We start from the raw sequence: 24,377 nt of genomic DNA, 5'->3' as shown, positions 1-24,377 counted from the left end.
AAGGCCTGCCTCTACCATCCAGACAGCATAATTCAGGTCTCTCTTTTCCTTGCCCACTGATTTAGATTGCTTTAAAGGGCATGTTTCTATGTACCGTATCTTTGTGTTTATTTTGATCTATCTTTCCTCACTAGACAGTGTAAACTTCTTGAGGTAAGAACTTGTTTTCTTCACTGTTCTGCTAAGGCACATTCTAGATGCTCAGGAAATACTTTCAAATGAATGAATGAACTCCTAATATATGACAGAAGAGAAACAGAATTTATCTAGTTGTGTTCCCATTTATTCTTCTATTGACTAGCTCAGAGGTCAGCATACATTTTTTCATAAAGGACCAGGTAGCATTTTAGGCTTTGCTGGCCATATAGTTTCTATTTCTATGGCAACTGTTCAACTCTGCCTTTGTAGCTCGTGATGATTAATTTTATGTGTCAACTTGACTGGGTCATGGGGTGCCCAGATATTTCGTTAAACATTCTTCTGGGTGTCTCTGTGAGGGGTTTCTGGATGAGATTAACATTTGAATTGGTAGACCGAGTTAAGCAGCCTGCCCTCCCTAATGTGGATGGGCCTCATTCAACGCACTGGAAGCCTGAATAGGAAAAAAAAAAAAAGAGTAAAGGAGAATTTGCTGTTTCTGCCTGACTGTTTTTGAGCTGGGACATTGGTCTTCTCCTACCTTGAGACTTGGACTTGGACTGCAGCTTACACCATTAGCTCTCCTTATTCTTAGGCCTTTGGATTGGGACTGATATTGTGCCATTAGGTCAGCTGGGTCTCCAGCTTGCCAACTGCAGATCTTGGGATTTCTCAGCCTCCATAACCACATAAGCCAGTTCCTTTTAATAACTCTGTCTCTCTAGAGATAGAGACAGTCCAGACTAATGCATAGCCCCAAAGCAGCCACAGATAATATGTAAACAATTGGATGTGGCTGTGTCCCAATAAAGCTTAATTCACAAAAGCAGATGACAGGATAAATGTGGTCTGCAGAAGATAGTTTGTTGACCCTTGGACTAGTCTGATCATTGGCTTAAGCAAAGCTTAAAACTTGATTGTAACCAAAGATAAATGTAATTTTGTATTACAGAAGATTGAATGTTGATTCATACTTAATAGCCAGATTAACTTTTTAACAACTTCATGGCTGAAATTTCCAATAAACATTACAAAAGTCCTGCAAATACACATGTAAATAAAAGTGTAATTAGTCTTTGCTAACTTTTCTTTTCTTTTTTTTTTTTTGAAACGAAGTCTTGCTCTGTTGCCCAGGCTGGAGTGCTGTAGCATGATCTTGGCTCACTGTAACCTCTGCCTCCTTGGTTTGGGCGATTCTTGTGCCTCAGCTCCCAGGCAGCTGGGACTACAGGCATGTACCACCACACCCAGACAATTTTTTGTATTTTTAGTAGAGATGGGGTTTTGCCATGTTGACCAGGCTGGTTTCGAACTTCTGACCTCAAGTTATCTGCCTGCTTCAGCCTCCCAAAGTGCTGGGATTATAGGCATGAGCCACTGCGCCTGGCCATCTTTGCTAACTTTTCTGATGATGGCTGTCTTCATTGTCTGTTTGAGAACTTCTCCAGCTGCCTTTAATAATGAAAGTGGATTGTAGGCTCACCTCATTGGTATTTCGGCCAAGGAGAGTCAAATCTGAAGGTGGGTAAGACCCCTCCTCCCCTCCTCTAATTTAGGAAGTGGGTATTTAGCTCCAGGTCAAATCTCTCTCGTATCTTCCTTTGGTTGATAAAATGTGAGTGTTTCTCTGGGCCTCTTAGACTTGTAGGGAGTCCATGCCCCCCATCTTCCTGGCTCCCTGGGTTTCATTCTCTCTTCCCACAGTGGGGATGCTAGTGTGGTCTGAACTACAGCTGGGCCACTGGGGTTCCTAGATCTTCCTGTGTTGTTTCCCCTGCTTTTCCATTTGTCCTGCCTCTGACATTGTGTACTTCTGATCTTGTGTGCTTGGCTTAGGACTCATGTTTGCAGTGGAGCATCCAAGCTCATCTGCTGTTCCCTTCTCTGCTCCTACTGGGCCCCTAACCAAGGCCTGGGCTGTGTTTAGTTTACTACAATTTGGGCTTCTGGTACCTTCCTGGAGGTGAAGTGGATGCCATGGGTTGAGCGTAGAGGATGCCCACACCTTCTACCATGTTAGCCTTACAGATGACTTAATTTAGCCCCCCACCTTCACTCTGGCTTAATAAGTCCATGCCTATGTAACACACAACCATTATATTTACAGAAAGAAAGCTAACATTTGGCTTTTATGAATTTCAATGATAACATCCAAAGCTAACATTTATAGAGTAGGCACTGCATGCCATGCATAGTTTAAGCAATATTTGTGTATTAAGTAGGGTTATTGAATGCTTACTTACAACCACCCTAGGAGGTAAGCACTATTATCATCTCCAGTTTGCTGATAACAAAGGAGACTTGCACTGGGAAGGAAGCTTCTCCAAGGTCTTGCAGTGACTAAATGGAAGAGCTTGTACTGGACCCCTGGCAGTCATCTCCAGAGTAGCATCCTTACCTTCTGTGTTCACCTTTCTCTCTTTCTCACCCATCCTTCTCCCTCCTCTCTCTGTCCACCTCTCCCCATCTCTACCATAACTTTAGCTAGCAGCTTAGGAAAATTTTCCAATTATTAAAGCAAAAAAAATTACTAAATTTCATCTAATAATTTTAGTTGGGAGCAACTGAAAACTTCAGAAGTTCCACTGGAGAACTTTCATGCTTTTGTGCCTTTGAAATATTTTGTATGGTGTGCGTGATCAGTTAGGATGAGAAAACCAGTTATAGCTTTTAAGTTACATTCTTTCATACTTGCTGTAATTGGTGGACATTGGATGTGAAAGTACGGTAATGCTCCATTGCTCTTTATCAAGCCAAAATTGTTTTTCAGAGACTTGTAACACTAGATTCAATAATCTATAAGCCATATGGTTCAATTACTAAACTCCAGTGAGACAAACTGGCCTTGAAATCCTTTATCCTCGACAGACAACAGTAGGGTGTATTTGGATATCCATTTTATATGTGCATTTAGGTAGCAGTGAAACTGCATCCTAAATTATTGTTTTTCTCAGGGAATGAATGACACTTTATTTTCAGAAATGCTGGATTTAACCTACTCTAATTTAATATGTTTTCCTCATATATTTTATTACATTATCCAGTTTTCCATCTTATATAATTGCTGGTTAAAAGGAAGCTGCCTAAAGGGAGAAAAACCACCCTGGGAAGGAGGTGGGTAGGTGGTGTCAAGCGTAAGGAGAAAGGATATTGGGTGGGAGAAGAGAGAATGAAAAAACTAAGTGGTGAATTGCTATGTCATGGCCACCAGGAAGGCTAAGGTGATGAGGCATTGAAACAGATATATGGGATAAATAATAAAGCCAGACTACAAAACAAAAAGCCCTTCATAAAGGAGCTGAATGTCTCCTTTCCCAGAACGTAACTTTTTATTTTGACCCATACAGTAAACAGGGAGCAAATGCCAATAGGATCTCTTGCTTTTGGGATCTATCACACAGAAGCTTTCCAGGTCACACATACTGAAAGCAGATACACTGGGTGACATAAAAATGAACTCTGCAATCAGTTTATTTTGCTGCTGCACTATGCAGTGTAGCTATAGAATATAGTCTAATTATACTGTGAATATCTGGCCCAAATGTTCAGGGCAGCTAAAACTGGCAAATGTTGGGGGAATGTTTTCCCTGCCTCTACCAACATATTATGTGTAGGATGGAGAAAGACAAATTCACTTATCTGATGAGCAGAGGCAAGAAAGACTGAAAATGGAGGTTATGCTGTATTTGATCTACTTGCTCTGGGAAGGGAAAATTCATTCAAAAACATTTATTGAGCATCTACTATATGTCAGGTTCTGCTCAAAGAAGAGAACTTGGGACAGATCAGGGAACAGAACAAAGAGCCCTGTCTTTGTGGAGCTTATGCGTTAGTAGAAGGGACAATAAACAAGGAACATAGGAATTAAGCAAATTAGGCAGATTGTTGGAAGGTGATATGATAAGTGCCTTAGGAAAATACATTACTAAAAAGTGGGGGTGTCAGGGGTTACGTCAGTAGTGTGGGGATTGGGAGTGGTGGCTGGTGACAGTATTAAATAGATGGGTCCCAGGAGGCCTCACTGAGAAGGTGACATTTGAGGAAGGCTTCAAGGAGGCAAGGGAAGAACCAGGCAGATACCTATGAGAATACCATTCCAGGCAGAGGGAAGAGCCTGTGCAAAGGCTGTGAGGCGGGGCCAGCCTGGCACAGCCCATGAACAGCAAGGTCAGTACTGTTGGAGCCCAGTGGATGAGGGGGAAAGCAGTAAGAAACAAGGTAATGGGATTGCAGATTATGTAGGGCCTTGTGCCCTGTTTCTCTTCTTACTCTTTCTTATTACAAAGTCACTTTACACGCTGGGTTCAGGGAAAGCAGACTGCATGCTGATAATCATGCAAGCAGTGTTGGGACTAGGATGAGGCAAGAGAGGCGACTATGTGCAAAATTTAAAGAGACACTCACTCTCTAGTGCCAGCTCTGTGCTTACACAGCCCTGAGAGCAAAGACGTCCTTAAATTTTACTTGCTAGGAGACTTACTTGTCTTTCCTAGTCTCAGTCCTGATGCAAAGCATCCTTGCTACTGCATATCAGTCTGCAAAATAGGTTGGCATTTCCACTCCCCACATCCATCCTCACCCACTGTCACCTACCCACATCTCAGCCAGAACTGTCTATCCTGCTATGTGCATTAGCAGGAGGAATAGCTGGAAAAACCAACTGGGATGATGAATTCACTCCTGTCTTTAGCCAACCTGGTCACCTCCCCACATCTCAGCCAGAACTGTCTATCCTGCTATGTGCATTAGCAGGAGGAATAGCTGGAAAAACCAACTGGGATGATGAATTCACTCCTGTCTTTAGCCATCCTGGTCACCTCCCCACTCCCAACTCCAGCAGGCAGAGAGAGAAAGCAGCATTCTGGGTTAGATTTTAGTCTTTAAGCCTCTCACCCACTGGCAAGTGTATGGACGTGGTTGAGAAGCCATGCTTCCAGAGCCCAGAAAGAGATGTTCAATCAGCCCGTGACTCTGGGATTACAGATGTAATTGAAGAACCACTTCTATGATCGAGTGCACAAGGAGAGTCACTCCAAGTTGACTCAATGGCAGGCAGAGGCCAAGAAGCAAATGCTCCACATAAAATAAATATGCCTTAGGATGTGCTTGGTGTTTATTCTCCCACAAGGAACTCAGAGAACTTGGAGGATTTTAAATTATTAAGAAAATAACAATTGCTTCTCACAATGTCTCTGGAGGGTAGACAGGGCAGTGGCCTGGGGAGGGAGTGGGGCAGGTCTTCCTGGCGGATGGGCAGTGTGCGGTGCCACCAGCTCTCAGCTCCATCAGGGCGTGCTGTCTGCCATTCCAGGAGCATCATCATCCATCAACAGACAGATGAGCCCAAGCTGCACTGGTTCCACATGGGGGTAACCTGTCTCCACTTTTTCTTAAAGAGCCCAACTGTTAGACTGCATCTTAGGTAGTTGACAAAGGACCATAGCAAGGTCTGAGAGGGAAGAAGTGGGACTATGGAAATGAATTAAACATTGATTTTCCACTTAAGAAAATGCAAGGGTCATAATCATGCTCAATTTCAGGAACAGACACAGCTTTTAAAGATTTTGATCAGAATTAATGTCAACCCTGTATTAAACTTTGTTGTAAAATTTAAGTGAAGGGTGCTATTTTCTCTAATTATTGCATTGTAGGCTAAGTTGCATAAATGAAAAGTCGTATTCCTTAGGCACAACATAATACACATATTTTTAGGTGTGAATGATATTACTGCTGAAAACATTTTTATTATTGTCTAATACAGCAACTTCAATCAGAAAAATCCTTTTGTCTAAACAGAAACTTGGCTGTCCCTTGAAAATCTTGCTTCTTGTTAGCTGCTTTCTTCAGTGATCACTGTTTATTTTCTCACATCTCAAGTGTTTCACATTAAGAAGCTGGGGTTTGGGATCTTTTTGCTCTCAATGCTACTTCTAAAACACTACCTTTCAATCTTCTTTAAAAAAAAATCCTAGTTCCCATGAGGCAGCCAAAAGAGTTTTTACCTCTTCTTCACTTCTGCCATCTACTGAGCCACCCTTATTCAGAAAAGAGTTGGCAAGTGGCACACAGTTTCTTCATCCAAAGCTTCGTCACTAACCTTGGTGATATTAACATTGAATTCATCCCATATTCTTGCTTCTCAGTACTCTGATCTCCCATGTTCAATGGCCTTGTCTCCACTCACCTTAATTACTTACTTGGACTCTGTTTCCTTGGTTGCTTCAGATAAGAGTTAGTGACACTTCCCTGAGACCCAGGTATCCCAGGCAACAGGGCTTATGCCTTGGGACCTAGTGCGAGAGGTTGTCCTCTGGCCCTTCTCTTCTGATTCCCATTTAAAGGGGTGAGAAAGCCGGAGTCAGCGGAGAGAACATGTTCCCTGAAGCCCACAACTTCTTTCTCCAGTCACTCTCCAAGTACCTAGGACCCCAGATTTCCCCTACTCCAATGGCCCCTACCCCCTGGGGAAGGCTCTTTGCAGGACATGTGGACAGACTTTAGATATTTGGGCTTGGGTGTCCATACACATGAATGTGTGGCCCCTTGTGGTGCAAAATAGAGCTAAGGGTGGAAAAAGAGAGAGACCAAATGCACCTCATTTCTCACTAACAAGAATGGCTGATGCATCTTTATCAGTAACAGCTTTAGTCCTGCTTCCTAGATAGGATTTACTAAGATACCCTCTCATAGGATTGTTTGTGCCTCCTGACAGCACCCAATCCACTGCAAAACCCTTCTCCTTTGAACCGTCCCCCAAATCACCTACTATAAGCCCAAGTCCTGTAAGTCCTCTCTAATAAACTTTTACTGAGACACTCCAGCTCCCTACAACATGTGTTCTCCTTTGTTGTATGAGCAAACAAACCCAACTTGACCATAGGTATGTTCCTAGGGGTCTTTGACTGATAGACGTCAACATTCCAAAAGATAGCATCACAGAATGGAATCTTACATAATAATTAACAGTAATAATTAATACTATCATCATGATAAAGAAAGCCAACAAATCTAGAGTTATCTGAAACAATATTAATGAACCTTCTAAACAATGTGGAGTGAAAAAAGCAAGTCATAAAATAATGTATACTATAGTGTGAATCAATTTACAAGTGAAAAAAATTGGTGAAGCTACATCATTTAGGGCTGCATATAAATTTGTACTTTGTGCTCTAAAGAAGCGCAAAGTAGGGACCACTGTAATAGTCAGGATGGTAGTCACCTCTGAGGGTAAACGGGACATTCTGATGGGAATGGATACATGGAAGTGTTTCAGGTACTCCCCAAGTTTCTATTTCTCGATTTAGATGGTAGTTACATGGATGCATACTTTATAGCCATTAGTTAAAGCATAGAAATAAGTTGTCTGTATTCTTTATGGATATTTCACAAAAATAAAATGCAAGAAATTAGGAGTAAGAGTGCTAAAGAGGACAAGACAAATACCTTGATATTTCCTTTCACGAGACAGTTTCCTTAGAATTTGGTTAGCATGAATTAATTCACCTGATGCCAATTATTCATGAATAAACAGCCAAATTTTAGCCTCTGAAATTGCAAAGATGATTAACAGCCTTTGGACTTAATTGTGACCACTGGGACTTTCTACCTTAGGAGGCTTTAACCAAAAGGAATCAGGTGTCTCCAGCTGCCTCTCTTAGTAACATTCATATACTCTACCTTGAAAGATATTTCAGTTGTCATGGTGAAGCCATGGGTGATGACAGGTTCCTCTTCTGCAGTCCGTCCCTTCCAGCAGTCCAGCTCCACACAGCGACAACCAGACAGGAGCACTTGGCGATACATCTCAACAGAGGAGTTTCCAGCCAGTTGGCCAGCTATAAAACACCAACAAAACAAACCCCAGATTCCCATGAAGCAAGGATGACCGTGGTGCTTTCTTAGAAAGGCTCCTCAATAACAGGAAAACAAAGAGTCTAAGAGCTGCAGCAGTTATTCTTTGCCTTTCTTCTGCCTCAACATACCAGAAGGTAATGGCTCAATTTCAAATAGAATCTGTAGTAGTGCTTTGGGAAAAGATAGGGCATTGTAACAATAACAACGATGCATGTTTATTAACTATTTACCATGTGCCAATTACAGGTTTTTGGACTGTATATATACTAAACATTTAATCTTCACAAAAAATCTCTGTGGCATAACTATTTAATAAAAAAATACCCATTTCACATAATAAAATGGCACAGAGTTCGGTTGCCCAAGTTTCCAATGCTAGGAAGTAGAAGATCCAGGATTATAGCATCAAAACTCACTCTTTTAATTCTGACTGCCTCCTGATGAGAATTTATTGTTGGGAGACTGTTCTATTATATAAGTCAGCTGCCTCTGACATGTTTGCCAAAGGCACAAATGCTGAGAAAAGCTAAACATTCTGTTTTTAAAAGTGCTCTTTAAAAAAAAATAAATTTAAGGCCAGGCACAGTGGCTCACGCCTATAATCCCAGCATTTTGGGAGGCTGAGGCGAGCGGATCACGAGGTCAGGAGATCGAGACCATCCTGGCTAACATGGTGAAACCCCATCTCTGCTAAAAACACAAAAAATTAGCCGGGTGTGGTGGCAGGCGCCTGTAGTCCCAGCTACTCAGGAGGCTGAGGCAGGAGAATGGTGTGAACCCGGGAGGCGGAGCTTGCAGTGAGCCGAGATGGTGCCATTGCACTCCAGCCTGGGCAACAGAGTGAGACTCTGTCTCAAAAATAAATAAATAAATAAATAAATTTAAATTAAACAAAGGATCGCAAAACTTATTCTCTAATAATTACAAAATGTTGTTGAAAGAAACTAAAGAAGACCCAAATAAATGGAAATACATCTCATGTTCATGGAGCAGAAGACTTGGTATTGCTAAGATGACACTACTCCCCACCATTGGCCTAAAGATTCAATTCTTATCAAAATCTCACCAGGATTTTTTGGAAAAAATTGGCAAACTGATCCAAAGTTCATATAGAAATGTTAAGGAACCTGAAACAGCCAAAAGCAATCTTGAAAAATAAGAACAAAGATGGAGGAATCACACTTCTCAAAACTTAAAACAAAGCTACAGTAATCAAGACCATGTGGTACTGGCATAAAGACAGACATATAGATTAATGGAAATAGAATTGAGATTTCCAAAATAAACCCTCAATTTATGGTCAACTGGCTTTCAACAATTGCCAAGACAATTAAGTGCAGAAAGAACCATCTTTTCAATAGTGTTGGGACAACTGGATAGCCACATAAAAATAAAAAAAGAAGAACTTGGATCCTTACCTCATACCATAGAGAACTAAACTCAAATTGGATCAAGTGTACAAATATAAGAGCTAAAACTACAAAACCTTTAGAAGAAAACACAGCAGTAAATTTTTGTGACCTTGATTCAGCAATGGTTTTGTAGATACAACACCAAAAACACAAGCAATGGAAGAAAAAGATAAACTTTACCAGAATGGGACTTCTGTGAATAGAACTAACATACCCTACTAAAGTGATGAGAATTGTTATAATGAAGGCACCTGAAAGGTCTGAGGGCCTTGATTATAATACACAGGGCATGGAAGCCAAAAGCTCCTATTTTACTTAAGTCAGTGGAAGTCACTAATTTCAGGATAAACTATTTTTGAAAGAGTAATAATAAATAGCTCTTGCAACAGGCCCATTAGCAACACACAAATTGAAGTCTTTGGTTTTCCCTATTAAATATTTTCTTTGATTTATATTCTATAAGCCCCAATCATTTTTTTAAAAGTTTTTCTTTGAAATGGGATCTCACTCTGTCACCGAGGCTAGAGTGCAGTGGTGTGATCATAGCTCACTGAAGCTTCAACCCCCTAGGCTCAAGTCATCCTCCTTCCTAAGCCTCCTAAGTAACTGGGACCACAGATGTGCACGAGCATGCTCAACTAATTTTTGTATTTTGTTTAGAGACAGAGTCTCCTTATGTTGCCCAGGTTGGTCTCAAACTCCTGGGCTCAACCGATCCTCCTGCCTCTGCCTCAGGAAGTGCTGAGATTACAGGTATAAACCACCACATTTGGCCTACCATCATTTTTTTAAATAGCCAGTTAAAAGATGGCATATTGATGCAAACTGTTAAAATGACTTTGACATGGACAAGATGTGCCCCGTGGAGACACACAGGACAAAGAAAATGGGATTAAGCCTACTAGCTTAATTTTATTTTTATATGCATGTCATAATACTCAACCACCAGCATAACAAAAGGATGACATTTTTGAGTTCTATAGAGCCCTGGTAAATGCACTGAAAGGCTGATTAAGTGGGTCTGCATAATAACTTTTCTCTACTGGAAAAATGGGATGTTTTCAACACAAAGATGCATTTGGAAAAGCAGAAATGCTGACAAAATGATCTAGAAACTTCCTGATGCTGGATAATCAAATTGCCATTCCTAATTGCCTTTTCAAAGTACATTGTCATGGCAAAGATTTACAAAGGTCTTTTCTGCATTAGGGACAAGGGGACAGTGGGAGTAAAGGGGAAAAGACAAACATTTATATGTTATTTCTAAACTTAAAGAGGAGCTACTATAGCTAAAGGAAGTGAATAATTCAAATATTATCAGGTTATTTAATTTAAAATGCTTGCTCCTGCAGAAAATTGCACCGGTATTAAAGAATAGAGCAGATTTTTGTGTGTACTGTTTAGAGAATTGTTTACGCACATCACTGACTATATCAACACAATTACATATTGTACAATTTCTGAATCAATTTCATTAATACTAGTTGAATGTTACTAACTTTAGTAAGGATAGTGTGAAGAATTTAATCAGATTTAACAGTGTATCAAAGTAGATAAATACCTAACAGACACTAGAGCATTCTGTAATAAGAGGTTCAAAGTTTTGAGAAACATTTCCTTAGATTTTCTTGTGAATATTTTTAATCAAAGAACAATGAGAAGGAATTTGATGTATTTTTTGAATGTTGATCAGTTAATGTTTTGAAAACCATGGTAAGGCATGAGGTTGGGTTTGTGAGATGCAAAGGAATGTGGGGAAAAAAACTGAAGAATAAAAAAGAGAAAGAGTTTATTGTCCACCTAAGACCAACAGAATCCCTCCAAGGTAAACTCATTGTTCATTCTTAAAATGAATACTTTTTATTAGAAATGGAACCCTCCCAAAGAAAGCATACTTTGAGAAAACCCACATTTATCCATAATTATCCTATTCCTTGGAATGCATATTAGGTTCCCTGTATGTTTTACTTCATTTATGGAAATATTTTTCAAACACATGTATTCATATTCTCTGTTACTCTCTTTTCTGCCTTAAGCCTCAAAGCTGATTTATTTTTGTTCCCTAAAATTCTTAACTCATTATTACATCTCATCTACCCATTATATTTCCATTTGAATATATTGAATAAATATAGCTTCTGGGGCTAGCGGATCGCTGAAGGTTGAGATTAGTGATAGGTCATGAGTCATTCAACCTTTGGTATTTCTGAAACTAGTATTTGACATCATCTCTCCCTGGCTCTGAACATCCTCTGGAATACATTCCAAGTCCATGATTGAACTTGGGAGCTGAAGCTCCTTCTCAGAGTAATTCATAATACTGCCCCAAGTCACAGCTCTGCAACTTCTCACTTGAGTGCATTCATTTTGGGTGGCTGGTTACATTCCCTTGAGCTTTGTCTCAGATTACCCAAGGCATCCAGGGATAGAAAAAACCAGAAGATCAAAAATAGCAATTCCTCCATTAACACAAACTTCTGAAGAATTTTTCATCTTGCAGTGGCTGATGATTAATTGCCTGTTTTCATATTTATCATTATTGTCTTCCCTTCAACCTCCAGGGTAAGAAGGTTCCAGAATGTGATATATTTGTTAATTCAGTGGCCTTCTTCAATAGTTATTGTCCCCTTCAACAGATGGAGATGAGGACTACATTTCCTTGCTTTCAATGCTATGACAGCCATTCAGGGCATATAATCTCATGGCTACACCTGAGGAAACTGTCCAAAATGCAGAGAATGTATTATTTGTCTTGACCCTCTCTAGATGCATCTGTTTGATCTGATTTCTCAATTACATGGTATCTGCCTGCTGCCCCAGTGAAACCATGGTGCTTTCTTGAACACAGAGCAGTTGCCATGAGATGGCTTAGGAGACAAAGTGTCTATGTAAGAGCCTAAAGTCATTTCCACTCTTAAGAAAATGACTTCAAGTATATACTTTACTGATTATAGGAGCTTCACCATTATGTGTTTGTACATATTCCCCAAAACATTTTCTGTGGGAGGCAAAATACTGGTTACTGGGGATATGAAAGTGATATGAGACATATTCCTTTACCCTTACCATCCAGGTAGGGAGGCAAACATAAATTTCTTCCCATTCTTACACTTCTGGTTGCCCTTTCTGTCTCTTCTTTCTCTTTTTCCTTGCCAGTAAAATATTTTATCTAGGTTCTGATATGCTTCAGGGTCTTCTCTGCAGCCTTGGGGTAAATCTTGATTCTTCTCAGTCAGTCATGGTAGTTCTGTGGCCCATGTTAGCAATTACTGTGGGCATTGATGTGTGGTGTGACTCTGAGCTATATATAACATGGCATAAAGAATGCCTACCAGATTGAGGGGATGGAGGTGGGGGGCTGTCAGGGAACCTCTAGGAACATTTTCTTCACTCTTAGAAGGGTCACAAGAACTTTCGCCATGTCCTTTGTGGATCTTGGTTCACAGGGAGGTAATGCTTAGGGTACACAGTCATCTTGAAACCATAAGGAGACCAAAAAGACAGAAACCACCTGGGTCTTCCATGATATTAATGAATTCCTGATTTAACCAATCCTCAACCACTCTGCTCCTGGGTGCCTTGCTGTGTGAGGGAATACACTGCTTAAATCTTTAAGCCATTAAATAATAGCATCCTATTACTTTCAGCCACAAGAACCCTGGCTGTTTTAATTTATCTACATTTTACAAACAAACCAAGGCTCAAATGAGTTAAGTATGTCATTTACTTAAAGGCCATTTTAAACTGGGCCCTGTTTATTTCCTAAGCTCATCTTCTTTTCATTCTACCACCTGACTTTTTAGGTCTGTGTGTGCTCTAAAGCAAAAACAAATGATAAAACGTTGCATATGCTAAGGGCTAAATGAGTGGGAGAGATGGGAAAGAGAGGAGGGGTGCTCAAAGTCTGGGTTTGTAGCAGATGACTGGGAAGGGTACAGCTAGGTCTTAAATCATTTTTAGAACTTTTCTTCAGCCAAGAACTTATACATGAGGAGAGGAGTTGAATAATTATCAGAAACATTCAGTCAGATAATTTAATTCATCAGATTATTGGGGATAGCAAAACCCTCAAATCTAATGGTTTCTTTCTTATCTGAATGAAGATATTAGCTGTCCGGAGATAGATTGCTTTGCCTTTCCAGTGTTTCTGAAGCCATTATCTCCCAAATAGTTGGGAGTATGGGAAGGTTTATGAAGAGGTGCACAAGTATAGGTTGTATTTACTGCATAGTGTTTCTTCCTAGGAAGATTTCTTTTTCTTGAGTCATAGGGCAGATTCCTCAAGGAAAAGCAATAATTTAAAACATAATCAGTACTGAGGGTACTGCCAAAATCACCCCAAATCCAAAAAGTGACCATGATAATTAAAAACCACTCATTCAGTGCATCTATTTCTCTCAATGATACAATTTATTTTTACTTCTGGGCATCTTGATATTCAACAAAGGGGCAATAATGAGCAGAGAAATAGACATAATAATAATGCATTGCTAAACTGATTGGTTTCATTCTGTATATTTAATTTTTACAGTCCCTTTGGATGCTCAAAGAAAATATCCTGAATATTGAAATTCTTCCTATTTGGATTTAGATAGCATTTTTCAGGAATATTAGTCCTTAAAATGCTCCAAGAAAATAAGTTGGGTGGTGACAAGGAGGATGAAGAGTTGATGACTGTGAGACTCTGATCCTTTTATTTTATATTCAAAACACATTACGGTAGGTGCTAACCTTCCTTTGCACCTAGCATTTCTTAAACTCATTTAAATAGGAAAACTTTCTTTTTTCCACCACTCTTTATATGAAATAATGTTTCTATAAATACAGTTTTTACTTGTTCTGAAAATGGCTGTAAAGTATAAAAACTAAATTATTTTCTAGATATTAATTTAAAAATTTAATAGGATTCAATTGGATTAGGCATTGGTTATATTTTTATTTTATAACATTCTTAATTGATTTGGGGTAGCTTGAATGTTTATATCATAGAAATTTGAGTTTATCCAAAGGCTTCTGAGAAACAGGACTTCTACATTAGTTTCATCTGTAATTAAAACAATGATTCTACCAATAATATGTGAAGTAAAACCAAATTTTGACCCATGAGTCAAAACAGCATTTCAGGCAAAACTTCAAGAGCCTGTATTTATATTTTTATATAGTTTTGTTTCTAATTATATGGAATTCTCCTTAATTTCCTTGCAGGAAAATAAATGGCTGGTACTGGGGCAAGGTAATACTGTGAGAATGTAGATTTGACTGCCTTTGCAAAAATCATGACAGTGAGAGAAATCTGACATAGCTGACTCCATCTTGCTTCTAACCTCACAAATTAACTGTCCTTGCTCATTCCTGAGTACAGGCCAAGATAACTATGGGAGGAAATTAGTATATAGTTTGATTTTAAAACAAAGATGATAACAGTCCCTTTCCAAAACTAATCCCCTCCTTTCCTGGGGACCAAAACAACTTTTGTAAGACTAACAAATTAACCACAAGGTTGGAATTATGGTTTAGGACTGAAGTCACAAGATTCGTAACCTCCCTAATTGCTCCTATATATAACATCACTATTATAAAACCTAAGACTGGTGTTTAAGGTATTTTTCAGGCCTTGAATTCTCATGGACCAACTACTGCCACCCATCCTGTGACCCATGCCAAGAAACAGACTTAACTTCTCCCAGGGACTGTCTCAGTCCAAGAAGACAGCTTTGACTCCCATGTCATTTCTTTCCTGACCCACCAATCAGCATTCCCCATTCCCTAACCACTTCCCAACCCCCTGCTGCCTAACTATCCTTGAAAAATCCTAGCTTCTGGATTATCAGAGAGACTGATTTGAGAAATATGTCCCATCCTTCTGCTCCACTGCCTTGCAATAAGTAAACTTTCTCTGTTGTAACACCTGCTGTTCTCAGTGTATTGGCTTTTTCTAGGCAGCAGGCAAGAAGAACCCAGTTGAGTGGTTACAGATTTATCTAATGCAAACCTTGGTATAATAATACAGAGCTCAGAAAAGGGAGCAAGATAAAAAAAAAAAACAACAGCAAAAACAAAACCCCTTAGATGAGAATACAATTTAACATAGTTAATATAGTTTTAAAAACTGAGTATTTGAAAATATGTGGATTCTAACAGTACTAGAAATTAAATAATTGAAGAGATAATTGACCAGAAACGAGGTATATGAATCAGATGGTGTTGATACAAAACCATTGTACAGAAATTTGGAGACAGCTATTAGAGTTCTTTCTTCATAAAAAAGGTAAACCCTTTTCTTTCCTAATAGCTGAAAGTATCACATCATCTTTTTAGTCTGATTAGCTGTTAATATGCCAACACCCTCAAATTTAAACTAACCTGACACAATGGAGCCAAATTTTTTACCACATCTGTGTTTAACAAGTTATACATAGGAAGGGCATATGAATGACTTCAGAAGAAATTAATTTAGAAGAAGAAATTAATTTGATTGTAAATTTTTAGTGAAATGTAATTTAAAAACTGCATACACAAATTTGAACTACATTTTGTAGTTTTATTATTTGTATTAATATTGAAAATTTTCTTAATACTATTATAAGGTTTTCAGTAAAGAAAATGAGTTAGTATGTATAATCTGTTAGGTATCAAGATTACTAAAAAGAGCACAGCTCAGCAAAATTGGCATACAAGGGACACACCTTAATGAATTAAAAGCCACCTATGACAAACCCACAGCCAACTTAATACTGAATGGGGAAAAGCTGAAAGCATTCTTCCTGAGAACGGGAACAAAACAAGGATGCCCACTCTCACCACCCTTCTTCATCATAGTACTGGAAGTCTTGGCCAGAGCAATCAGACAAGAGAAAGAAATAAAGGGCATCCAAATAAGTGAAGAGGAAGTCAAACTGTCCCTGACTGCTGACGATATGATTGTTTACCTTGAAAATCCTAAGGACGCCTCTAGAAAGCTCCTAGAACAGATAAGAGAATTCAGCAAAGTTTTCAGATACAAGATTAATATATTCAAATCAGTAGCTCTTTTATACACCAACAGTGACCAAGCAGATAATCAAATCAAGAACTCAACCCTTTTACAATAGCTGCAAAAAAAAAAAAAATACTGAGGAATATACCTAAAAAAGGAGTCAAAAGGCTTCTACAAGGAAAACTACAAAACACTGCTGAAATAAATCATAGATGACAAACAAATGAAAACACATCCCATGCTCATGGATGGGTAGAATCAATATTGTGAGAATGGCCACACTGCCAAAAGCAATCTACAAATTCAATGCAATCTCCATCAAAATACCACCATCATTCTTCACAGAGTTAGAAAAAACAATTCTAAAATTCATACGGAACCAAAAAATAGCCCGCATAGCCAAAGCAAGACTAAGCAAAAAGAACAAATCTGGAAGCATCACACTACCTGATTTCAAACTATACTCTAAGGGCATAGTCACCAAAACAGTGTGGTACTGGCATAAAAATAGGCACTCAGAACAATGGGACAGAATAGAGAACCCAGAAATAAACCCAAATACTTACAGCCAACTGATCTTTGACAAAGCAAACAAAAACATAAAGTGGGGGAAAAACACCCTTTTCAACAAAGTGTGCTGGGGTAATTGGCTAGCCACATGTAGGAAAATGAAACTGGATCCTCATCTCTCACCTTATACAAAAATCAACTCAAGATGGATTAAGGACCTAAATCTAAGACCTGAAACTATAAAAATTCTAGAAGATAACATTAGAAAAACCCTTCTAGACATTGGCTTAGGCAAGGATTTCATGACCAAAAATTGCTTTTGGGTAAAAGCAATTGCATAAAAACAAAGATACATGGCTGGGACCTAATTAAACTAAAGAGCTTTTGCACAGCAAAAGGAACAGTCAGCAGAATAAACAGACAACCCACAGAGTGGGAGAAAATATTCACAATCTATACATCTGACAAAGGACTAATATCCAGAATCTACAATGAACTCAAACAAATCAGCAAGGAGAAAACAATCAATTCCATCAAAAAGTGGGCTAAGGACATGAATAGACAACTCTCAAAAGAAGATGTACAAATGACCAACACACATATGAAAAAATGCTCAACATCACTAATGATCAGGGAAATGCAAATCAAAACCACAATGCGATACCACCTTACTCTTGCAACAATGGCCATAATCCAAGAATCAAAAAACAGTAGAAGTTGGCATGGATGCAGCAATCAGGGAACACTTCTACACTGCTGGTGGGAATGTAAACTAGTACAGCCACTATGGAAAACAGTGTGGAGATTCCTTAAAGAACTAAAAGTAGAACTACCATTTGATCCAGCCGTCCCACTAATGGGTATCTACCCAGAGGAAAATAAGTCACTATTTGAAAAAGATACTTGCACACGCATGTTTACAGCAGCACAATTCACAATAGCAAAATCGTGGAACCAACTGAAATGCCCATCAGTCAATGAGTAGATATAGAAACTGTGGTATGTATACATGATAGAACACTACTCATCCACAAAAAGGAATGAATTAACAGCATTTCCAATGACTTGGATGAGATTAGAGACGATTTTTCTAAGTGAAGTAACTCAGGAATGGAAAACCAAACATCGTATGTTCTCTCTGATATGTGGGAGCTAAGCTATGAGGACGCAAAGGCATAAGAATGATATAATAGACTTTGGGGACTTGGGGCAGGGGGTGAGGGATAAAAGACAACCAATATGGTTCAGTGTATACTGCTCGGGTGATGGGTGCACCAGGATCTCATCTTACAAATCTCCACTAAAGAACTTACTCATGTAACCAAATACCACCTATACCCTTATAACTTATGGAAAAATAATTTAAAAAAATAATTTAAATTGGGGACAGGCACAGTGGCTCATGTCGTTAATCCCAGGACTTTGGGAGGCTGAGGCAGAAGGATTGCTTGAGCTCAGGAGTCTGAGTCCAGCCTGGGCAACATAGTGAGACCTTGTCTTTACAAGAAATAAAAAATTAGCCAGGTGTGGTGGCACGTGCCTGTAGTTTCAGCTACTCAGGAGGCTGAGGTGGGAGGATTGCTTGAGCCCAGGAGATCGGGACTACAGTGAGCTATCATCATGCCACTGTGCTCCAGCCTGGGCAACAGAGTGAGGCCCTGTCTCAAGAATAATAATAATAATAATAATTTAAATTGGTAGGTAGAAGTAGAAATATTTATGTGAACTCGTGCCTTAAAAAGACAAAAAAAAATTATCTTTTCTTCCTTTGTTCACTGAAACAGTCCAGGCAATGTTCAGGGTCCAAATTGCTGTTACTCATACTTTTTCTTTCCCATCAAAAAGAACCAGGGCTCACTGGAGAATAGTCTGTTTCCATCTCTGGAGCAGAAAGGAATAAGGTGAGTCTGGAAGATCTCTATGTGCCAGAACACTTTCAAAGATTAATAGGTCATGTCAAGAGGACACAGATGATAGCCTAAAAATGTCTCCTACTAACCAAAGTTGAGACAATTTGGTCTCTCAAAAGGAGAATGGCAGCCGCGATTGAATGAACATACATAAAATCTGAAAACCCTAGTGATAGTCAGAAAGGGAAAAATTAATATACTCTGAAAGAAGGTGAAAAAATAAAATGTATATCCAATCAGTCTTGTCATTCAATCATTTTGGTATTACTGACTCATTTATTATATGACAAATAAAATAGAATGTAATGAATATAAATATATCAGTTGGAAGGTATTTTGGACTCAAAAGATTATTCGTAAAAAATCTACTCTATATTGTGACTTCCACTTAAACAAAATCACACACAATACCCAAAATTCAACCGGACATATATTTAAGTATTTTTGAGTTTTGTGGTCCTAAATATAGGATAAATGTAAGATTCTATAATGTGCTCAGATTTTAAAAATTATACTTCTTTGAATTTTATCATGTCAAAGATCTAGACTGTTAAAGTGATATTCCATGAACCTCCTTGAACTTGGATGAGAAAGAATGGTTACAGTTTTAATTTTAACCTCTACACAAAATTTAACATTCTCTTCAGTTAAGTATGTAGTTTACAAGTCACTAGCAAGATCTGTGTATTATATTCCAATTGTTGCAAATTATCACAACATTTTACTTATACTTATTTAAATTGTGTTAATACTGAGATACACAAGGTTATATATCATAACATTTTATAAAAATATTTCAATGAAATTTATTTCCTCTTTAATTCTAGGTACTTAATTTATGCATTTAGCATTCTGAGAAGGGTGCATACACTTCACCAGACTGCCAAATAGGTCAAGGCTTAATTTAAGATCAGATTAGAAACACATTGATGTTTTATCCTACTTTATTATAATATTTACAATAAAGTATAAGTTGTCATTCACAGGTCAATTTGTTTTTGTCTAAAGCCCTGTCCTACCTTGAACAAAAAGCAATTACTTAATTCTTTTTTTTTTCTTTTGAGACAAAGTTTCATTCTTGTCACCCAGGTTGGGGTGCAGTGGTGTGATCTCGGCTCACTGTAACCTCCACCTCTTGGGTTCAGGTGATTCTCCTGCCTCAGCCTCCCAAGTAGCTGGGTTTACAGGCACGCACCACCACGCCTGGCTGATTTTTTTTTTTTTTTTTGTATTTTTAGTAGAGACAGGGGTTTCGCCATATTGAACAGGCTGGTCTCGAACTCCTGACCTCAGGTGATCCGCCCGCCTCGCCGTCCCAAAGTGCTGGGATTACAAGCATGAGCCACCACTTAAGAACTTCGGAGCTGTCATGTAGATGAACACAGCCCAGAGAACCGGGTAGGACTGGACATGGCTTCAAGTACACTGAAGAATGAGTTCAGTTACACAAAAATCCCATTGATCTGAAAATGTCAGCCGTGGTTGCATTTTAGAAGACTTAAAAACTTAGGCTGTGGAGAAATGATGCTATTGCTTCATACACATGTGGACATGACTGCTTATGGGAGGCGGGAGGCTTTAGTGGTGGAACCCCAGAGTTCTCAGAGGCACTTCGCAGGAAATGGAAGAAAACACACTTCAGCTTCCGAACAACAGAAAGTAGAGGTTGGTGAAATTTGGTGAGACTGGCTAAAGTAACAAAGAACTAGAAAATTCATACCTGTGAGGTAGGTGTTGTGCGAGGAATTAATGAAATAGTGAGAAAGGGGCTGAGACATGTCTTCATTCAAATCCAGTTTCTCAGGTGAAACGACTCCGTTTTCTTCTCCACTCAGATAGCGCATGAACCCATCCACTGATATTTGTCCTGGAGGAAATGAAGTTAGAAAGGATGTGAATGCATTCTTTTATGGGTGTCAAGTCGCCTCTTTTTTTTTTTTTTTCCAGAAATATCTTGTAGTGTCCAAGGTAGAAGACATTTTAGTATGGATAAATAAGAGTGTAGGATTATTCTGTTTCACTACAATTATTTCCAAATGTCACAGACAATAGAGAAAACATGTAGTTACATGAGCCCCACCAAATTTTCAGAGGATTTAAATAAACACCAACCTCCTGTTTTCCAATGTAAGACTGGTATTAACTTTATGGATCGGCACTAAAATGTTATCAGTGCTTATCTCTGTGTAATAGAATTTGGGGTAATTTTTCAATTTTTTTTCTTATTAATGTATGTTACTTTATAATCAAAATTATGTACAAGTGGCCTGTAATCCCAGCACTTTGGGAGGCTGAGGCGTGTGGATCACTTGAGGTCAGGAGCTCGAGACCAGCCTGGCCAATATGGCGAAGTCTCCTCTCTACCCAAAACACAAAAATTAACCCGGGCATGGTGGGCGCCTGTAATCCAGCTACTCAGGAGGCTGAGGCAGGAGAATCGCTTGCACCCAGGAGGTGGAGGTTGCATTGAGCCGAGATGGCGCCACTGCACTCCAGCCTGGGCGACAGAGCGAGACTCCTTCTCAAAATAAAAATAAATAAATAAATAAATAAATAAATAAATAAATAATTTACAAGTGGTTTTATTATTTAAAATAATGTTAAAGTGTTTTTGGGGCTGGGCGCGGTGGCTCACGCCTGTAATCCCAGCACTTTGGGAGGCCAAGGTGGGCAGATCACAAGGTCAGGAGATCGAGACCATCCTGGCTAACACGGTGAAACCTCGTCTCTACTAAAAATACAGAAAAATTAGCCGGGTGTGGTGGCGGGTGCCTGCAGTCCCAGCTACTCGGGAGGCTGAGGCAGGAGAATTGTTTGAACCCAGGAGGTGGAGTTTGCAGTGAGCTGAGATCGCACCACTACACTCCAGCCTGGGTGACAGAGCGAGACTCTGTCTCAAAAAAAAAAAAGGTGTTTTCAAATAATGATATTTTTCTCTGAAACAGAAAATAAAGATGCCCACAAATGAGTCTTTCCTGAAAATAAAAATTTGAATGCTCATGAAAAAAGATCTTTAAATCTCATATTAAGAATTATTTTACTTCAGATGGCAGAAATATGACACAGGTAATTTAGTTTACTCAGATTCTATTTAGAAATTTTTCTATGTTGTAACCTTTCTGAGTTGACTAATACTAAATATTGACAAAATTCTTTTGTCAACTTTATTGAGGTATAATTTAAAAAACTACATATTTAAGGTGTACAACTGGATGTTTTGATACACGTATTGAGACAATTTTTTGTCATAATCTTCATAGATACATAGGATCATCTTAAGTATTTTGGTCTATCACTACAATTTGTTTCTTCAATCTTGACAATCAAAGCTTCAAACAACATATTTGCGGGTAGTAAATATGTTGCCAACAAATGTCGGAGGGTAGCATTTCTTTTTTTTTTCTTGTTGAAACAGTTTTTATTACTATAAAAGTGGAATATGTTCATTAAAGAAAAATTGGGAAATGAGATAAACAGAGAGAAAAAATAAAACTTGTTTTGAACATCCCTAACTTTTCTTTCAGAGATAACTACTGCTAAAACATTGGTGTGTATCCTCCCAGAAAAATACCCGTGTGTGTGTATAATTCTTTTATGAAGCTGTAATCATGCATATACACACATACATATAATTATATATATAATTTAGTAACCTTTGTATTAACTGAGCAATATATTATGAACATTTTTAATGTAAAAATAAATTCTATGCGGATATTTAACTATAGCATAAAATATGCAACTATCTATATTTTTATATCATAAAATATAGCAGTATAATATGAAATAATATTCTATTATCATTGATCATTAAAGTTGTTTCTAATTTTTTCACTAGTATAAATGACATTGCATTGACTGCTCTGATGGTTACATCTTTGTATAAATACTTAATTATTTCTTCAGGATGAATTCCCAGAAATAGAATTTCTGATTCAAAGACTTCGCATACTTTTGAGGATTTTAATACACATAACCAATTTTCTTTCTGTTAAAGTCCTAGCAATTGACTTTCACCAATGGTATATAAAAGTATCTGTTTTCCTTCTCTTCTCCCCTACTGCCAAACCTATCAGTAAAATGACAACATTTAACAATTCTAATTTTTACTGATTTAAACATTATTTATTCTTGATTGCTAAGAGATGTGCCATTTGTAAATGGCAAAGCTAGCACTGATTATTTACCACAGTAAAAATCTTTTCACATTCAATACATTTCTCAAGGTGACCGATGACTGCTTTTCCCAAGTTCTGGAAACTCAATAGCTAAATTGCTTTTACTATTGTCCAAGAATAAAAAATAAGAAGGAAAGTTTGTTTTGGCTCTTTTGATGAGAGGAGCTGTTTCGCAAAAGAAAAACCTTCCTCCTGGGCTCGGGCAATCCTCCTGCCTCAGCCTCCCGAGTAGCTGGGACCATAGGCATGCACCACCATGCCCAGGTAATTTTTTTTCTCTGTGTAGAGACAGGGGTCTTCCTATGTTCCCCAGGCTGGTCTTGAACACCTGTACTCAAGCGATCCTCCCACCACAGCCTCCCAAAGTCCTGAGGTTACAGGCGTGAGCCGCTGAGCTGGGCCTGGGCACGTGCTTTTCACACCAGAATCTCTATTTCTCCTTTTCTCTCTATTTCCTTTCCTTCTCCCCTATCTCTTTTCCTTTCACTAATTTCACAAAGGTTTATTGAACATCTACCATACGATAAATGCACAGAAAAATAAAGCACAGTAAAACACAGCCTCTGCCTTCAAAGAGCTCACCGTCTAATAGAAAATAAGGCCATTCACCCCTTGAAACCCAGGCACGAGCACCTTTAAAAGCTGAATGTGCATGTATCTTTGTCGTCCCTGGTGTCTACTAGATGCTTTGTGCACAGTGGGTGCTAAATCACTACTTCTTTTGGATGATTATTGGGATTCAAAATAGAAAATAAATTGTTTTGAAACTGGAAGATCACCAAAGACAGCAGCATTTTGTTTGATTCTTATGTTCTGATTAGGTCAAATGATATGAAATTTGTAATATTTGCTGTTTTTCACCTATGCAAAAGGCAATTTCACACAACCCAATCTCTAACTATAACAATTCCTTAAAAGACAGGCAATAAATGCAAGTATCTTCAGGGGCCAGGAAAGGAAAGTAATGTAACTGCTGGATGAGTGTGCATACTGGGGGAGTCACAGGGTATGGAAAACTGGCAAGTGTATGCTTCTTGTATACACATGCATATCATAGCAATAAAATAACTGTGCAATCTAATACAATGGTTTATTGAACATGAAAGAAGAACAAGAATGAAATGCAAGAATAAACATCCTTTGGTTTGATCAGCAACTTTTAAAAGCAAGAAAAAACAACAACATAGGCCAATAGGGCAGAAATGACAAATGGATTTTAACTTTAGCTCCAAATTCCATTTATTGTTAATGTCTTCTGGGTGCTTGTGTTGAGAAAGATTCTGAACCATGCCTGTGATTAATTTTGATGTCTGCCTTGGGTACAGGATAGAAAAGTGAAGGTGTACACTTCATATATTTGTCATACTCAAATGAAGATATTATAATCAAGGTCAAGGTA

General features: G+C 38.5%; 1 protein-coding gene across 2 annotated transcripts in view; it reads right to left on the bottom strand.

Moving 5' to 3' along the window:
• PLCB1 (phospholipase C beta 1) overlaps positions 1-24,377 on the bottom strand; it is a 752,635-nt gene that overhangs the window by 179,302 nt on the left and 548,956 nt on the right. For both annotated transcript variants that reach the window (NM_182734.3, NM_015192.4), the window contains exons 10-11: positions 20,521-20,667; positions 7,816-7,973 (exon numbers count right to left, since the gene is read on the bottom strand). In NM_182734.3, coding sequence (NP_877398.1) covers positions 7,816-7,973; positions 20,521-20,667 — 305 coding nt within the window. The remainder of the gene's footprint in view (positions 1-7,815; positions 7,974-20,520; positions 20,668-24,377) is intronic.

Source organism: Homo sapiens, chromosome 20 (genome assembly GCF_000001405.40).
Source record: "Homo sapiens chromosome 20, GRCh38.p14 Primary Assembly".
Taxonomy (NCBI): domain Eukaryota; kingdom Metazoa; phylum Chordata; class Mammalia; order Primates; family Hominidae; genus Homo; species Homo sapiens.
The sequence above is the reverse complement of the archived record's forward strand: the minus strand, read 5'-3'. Positions and strand labels throughout refer to the sequence as shown.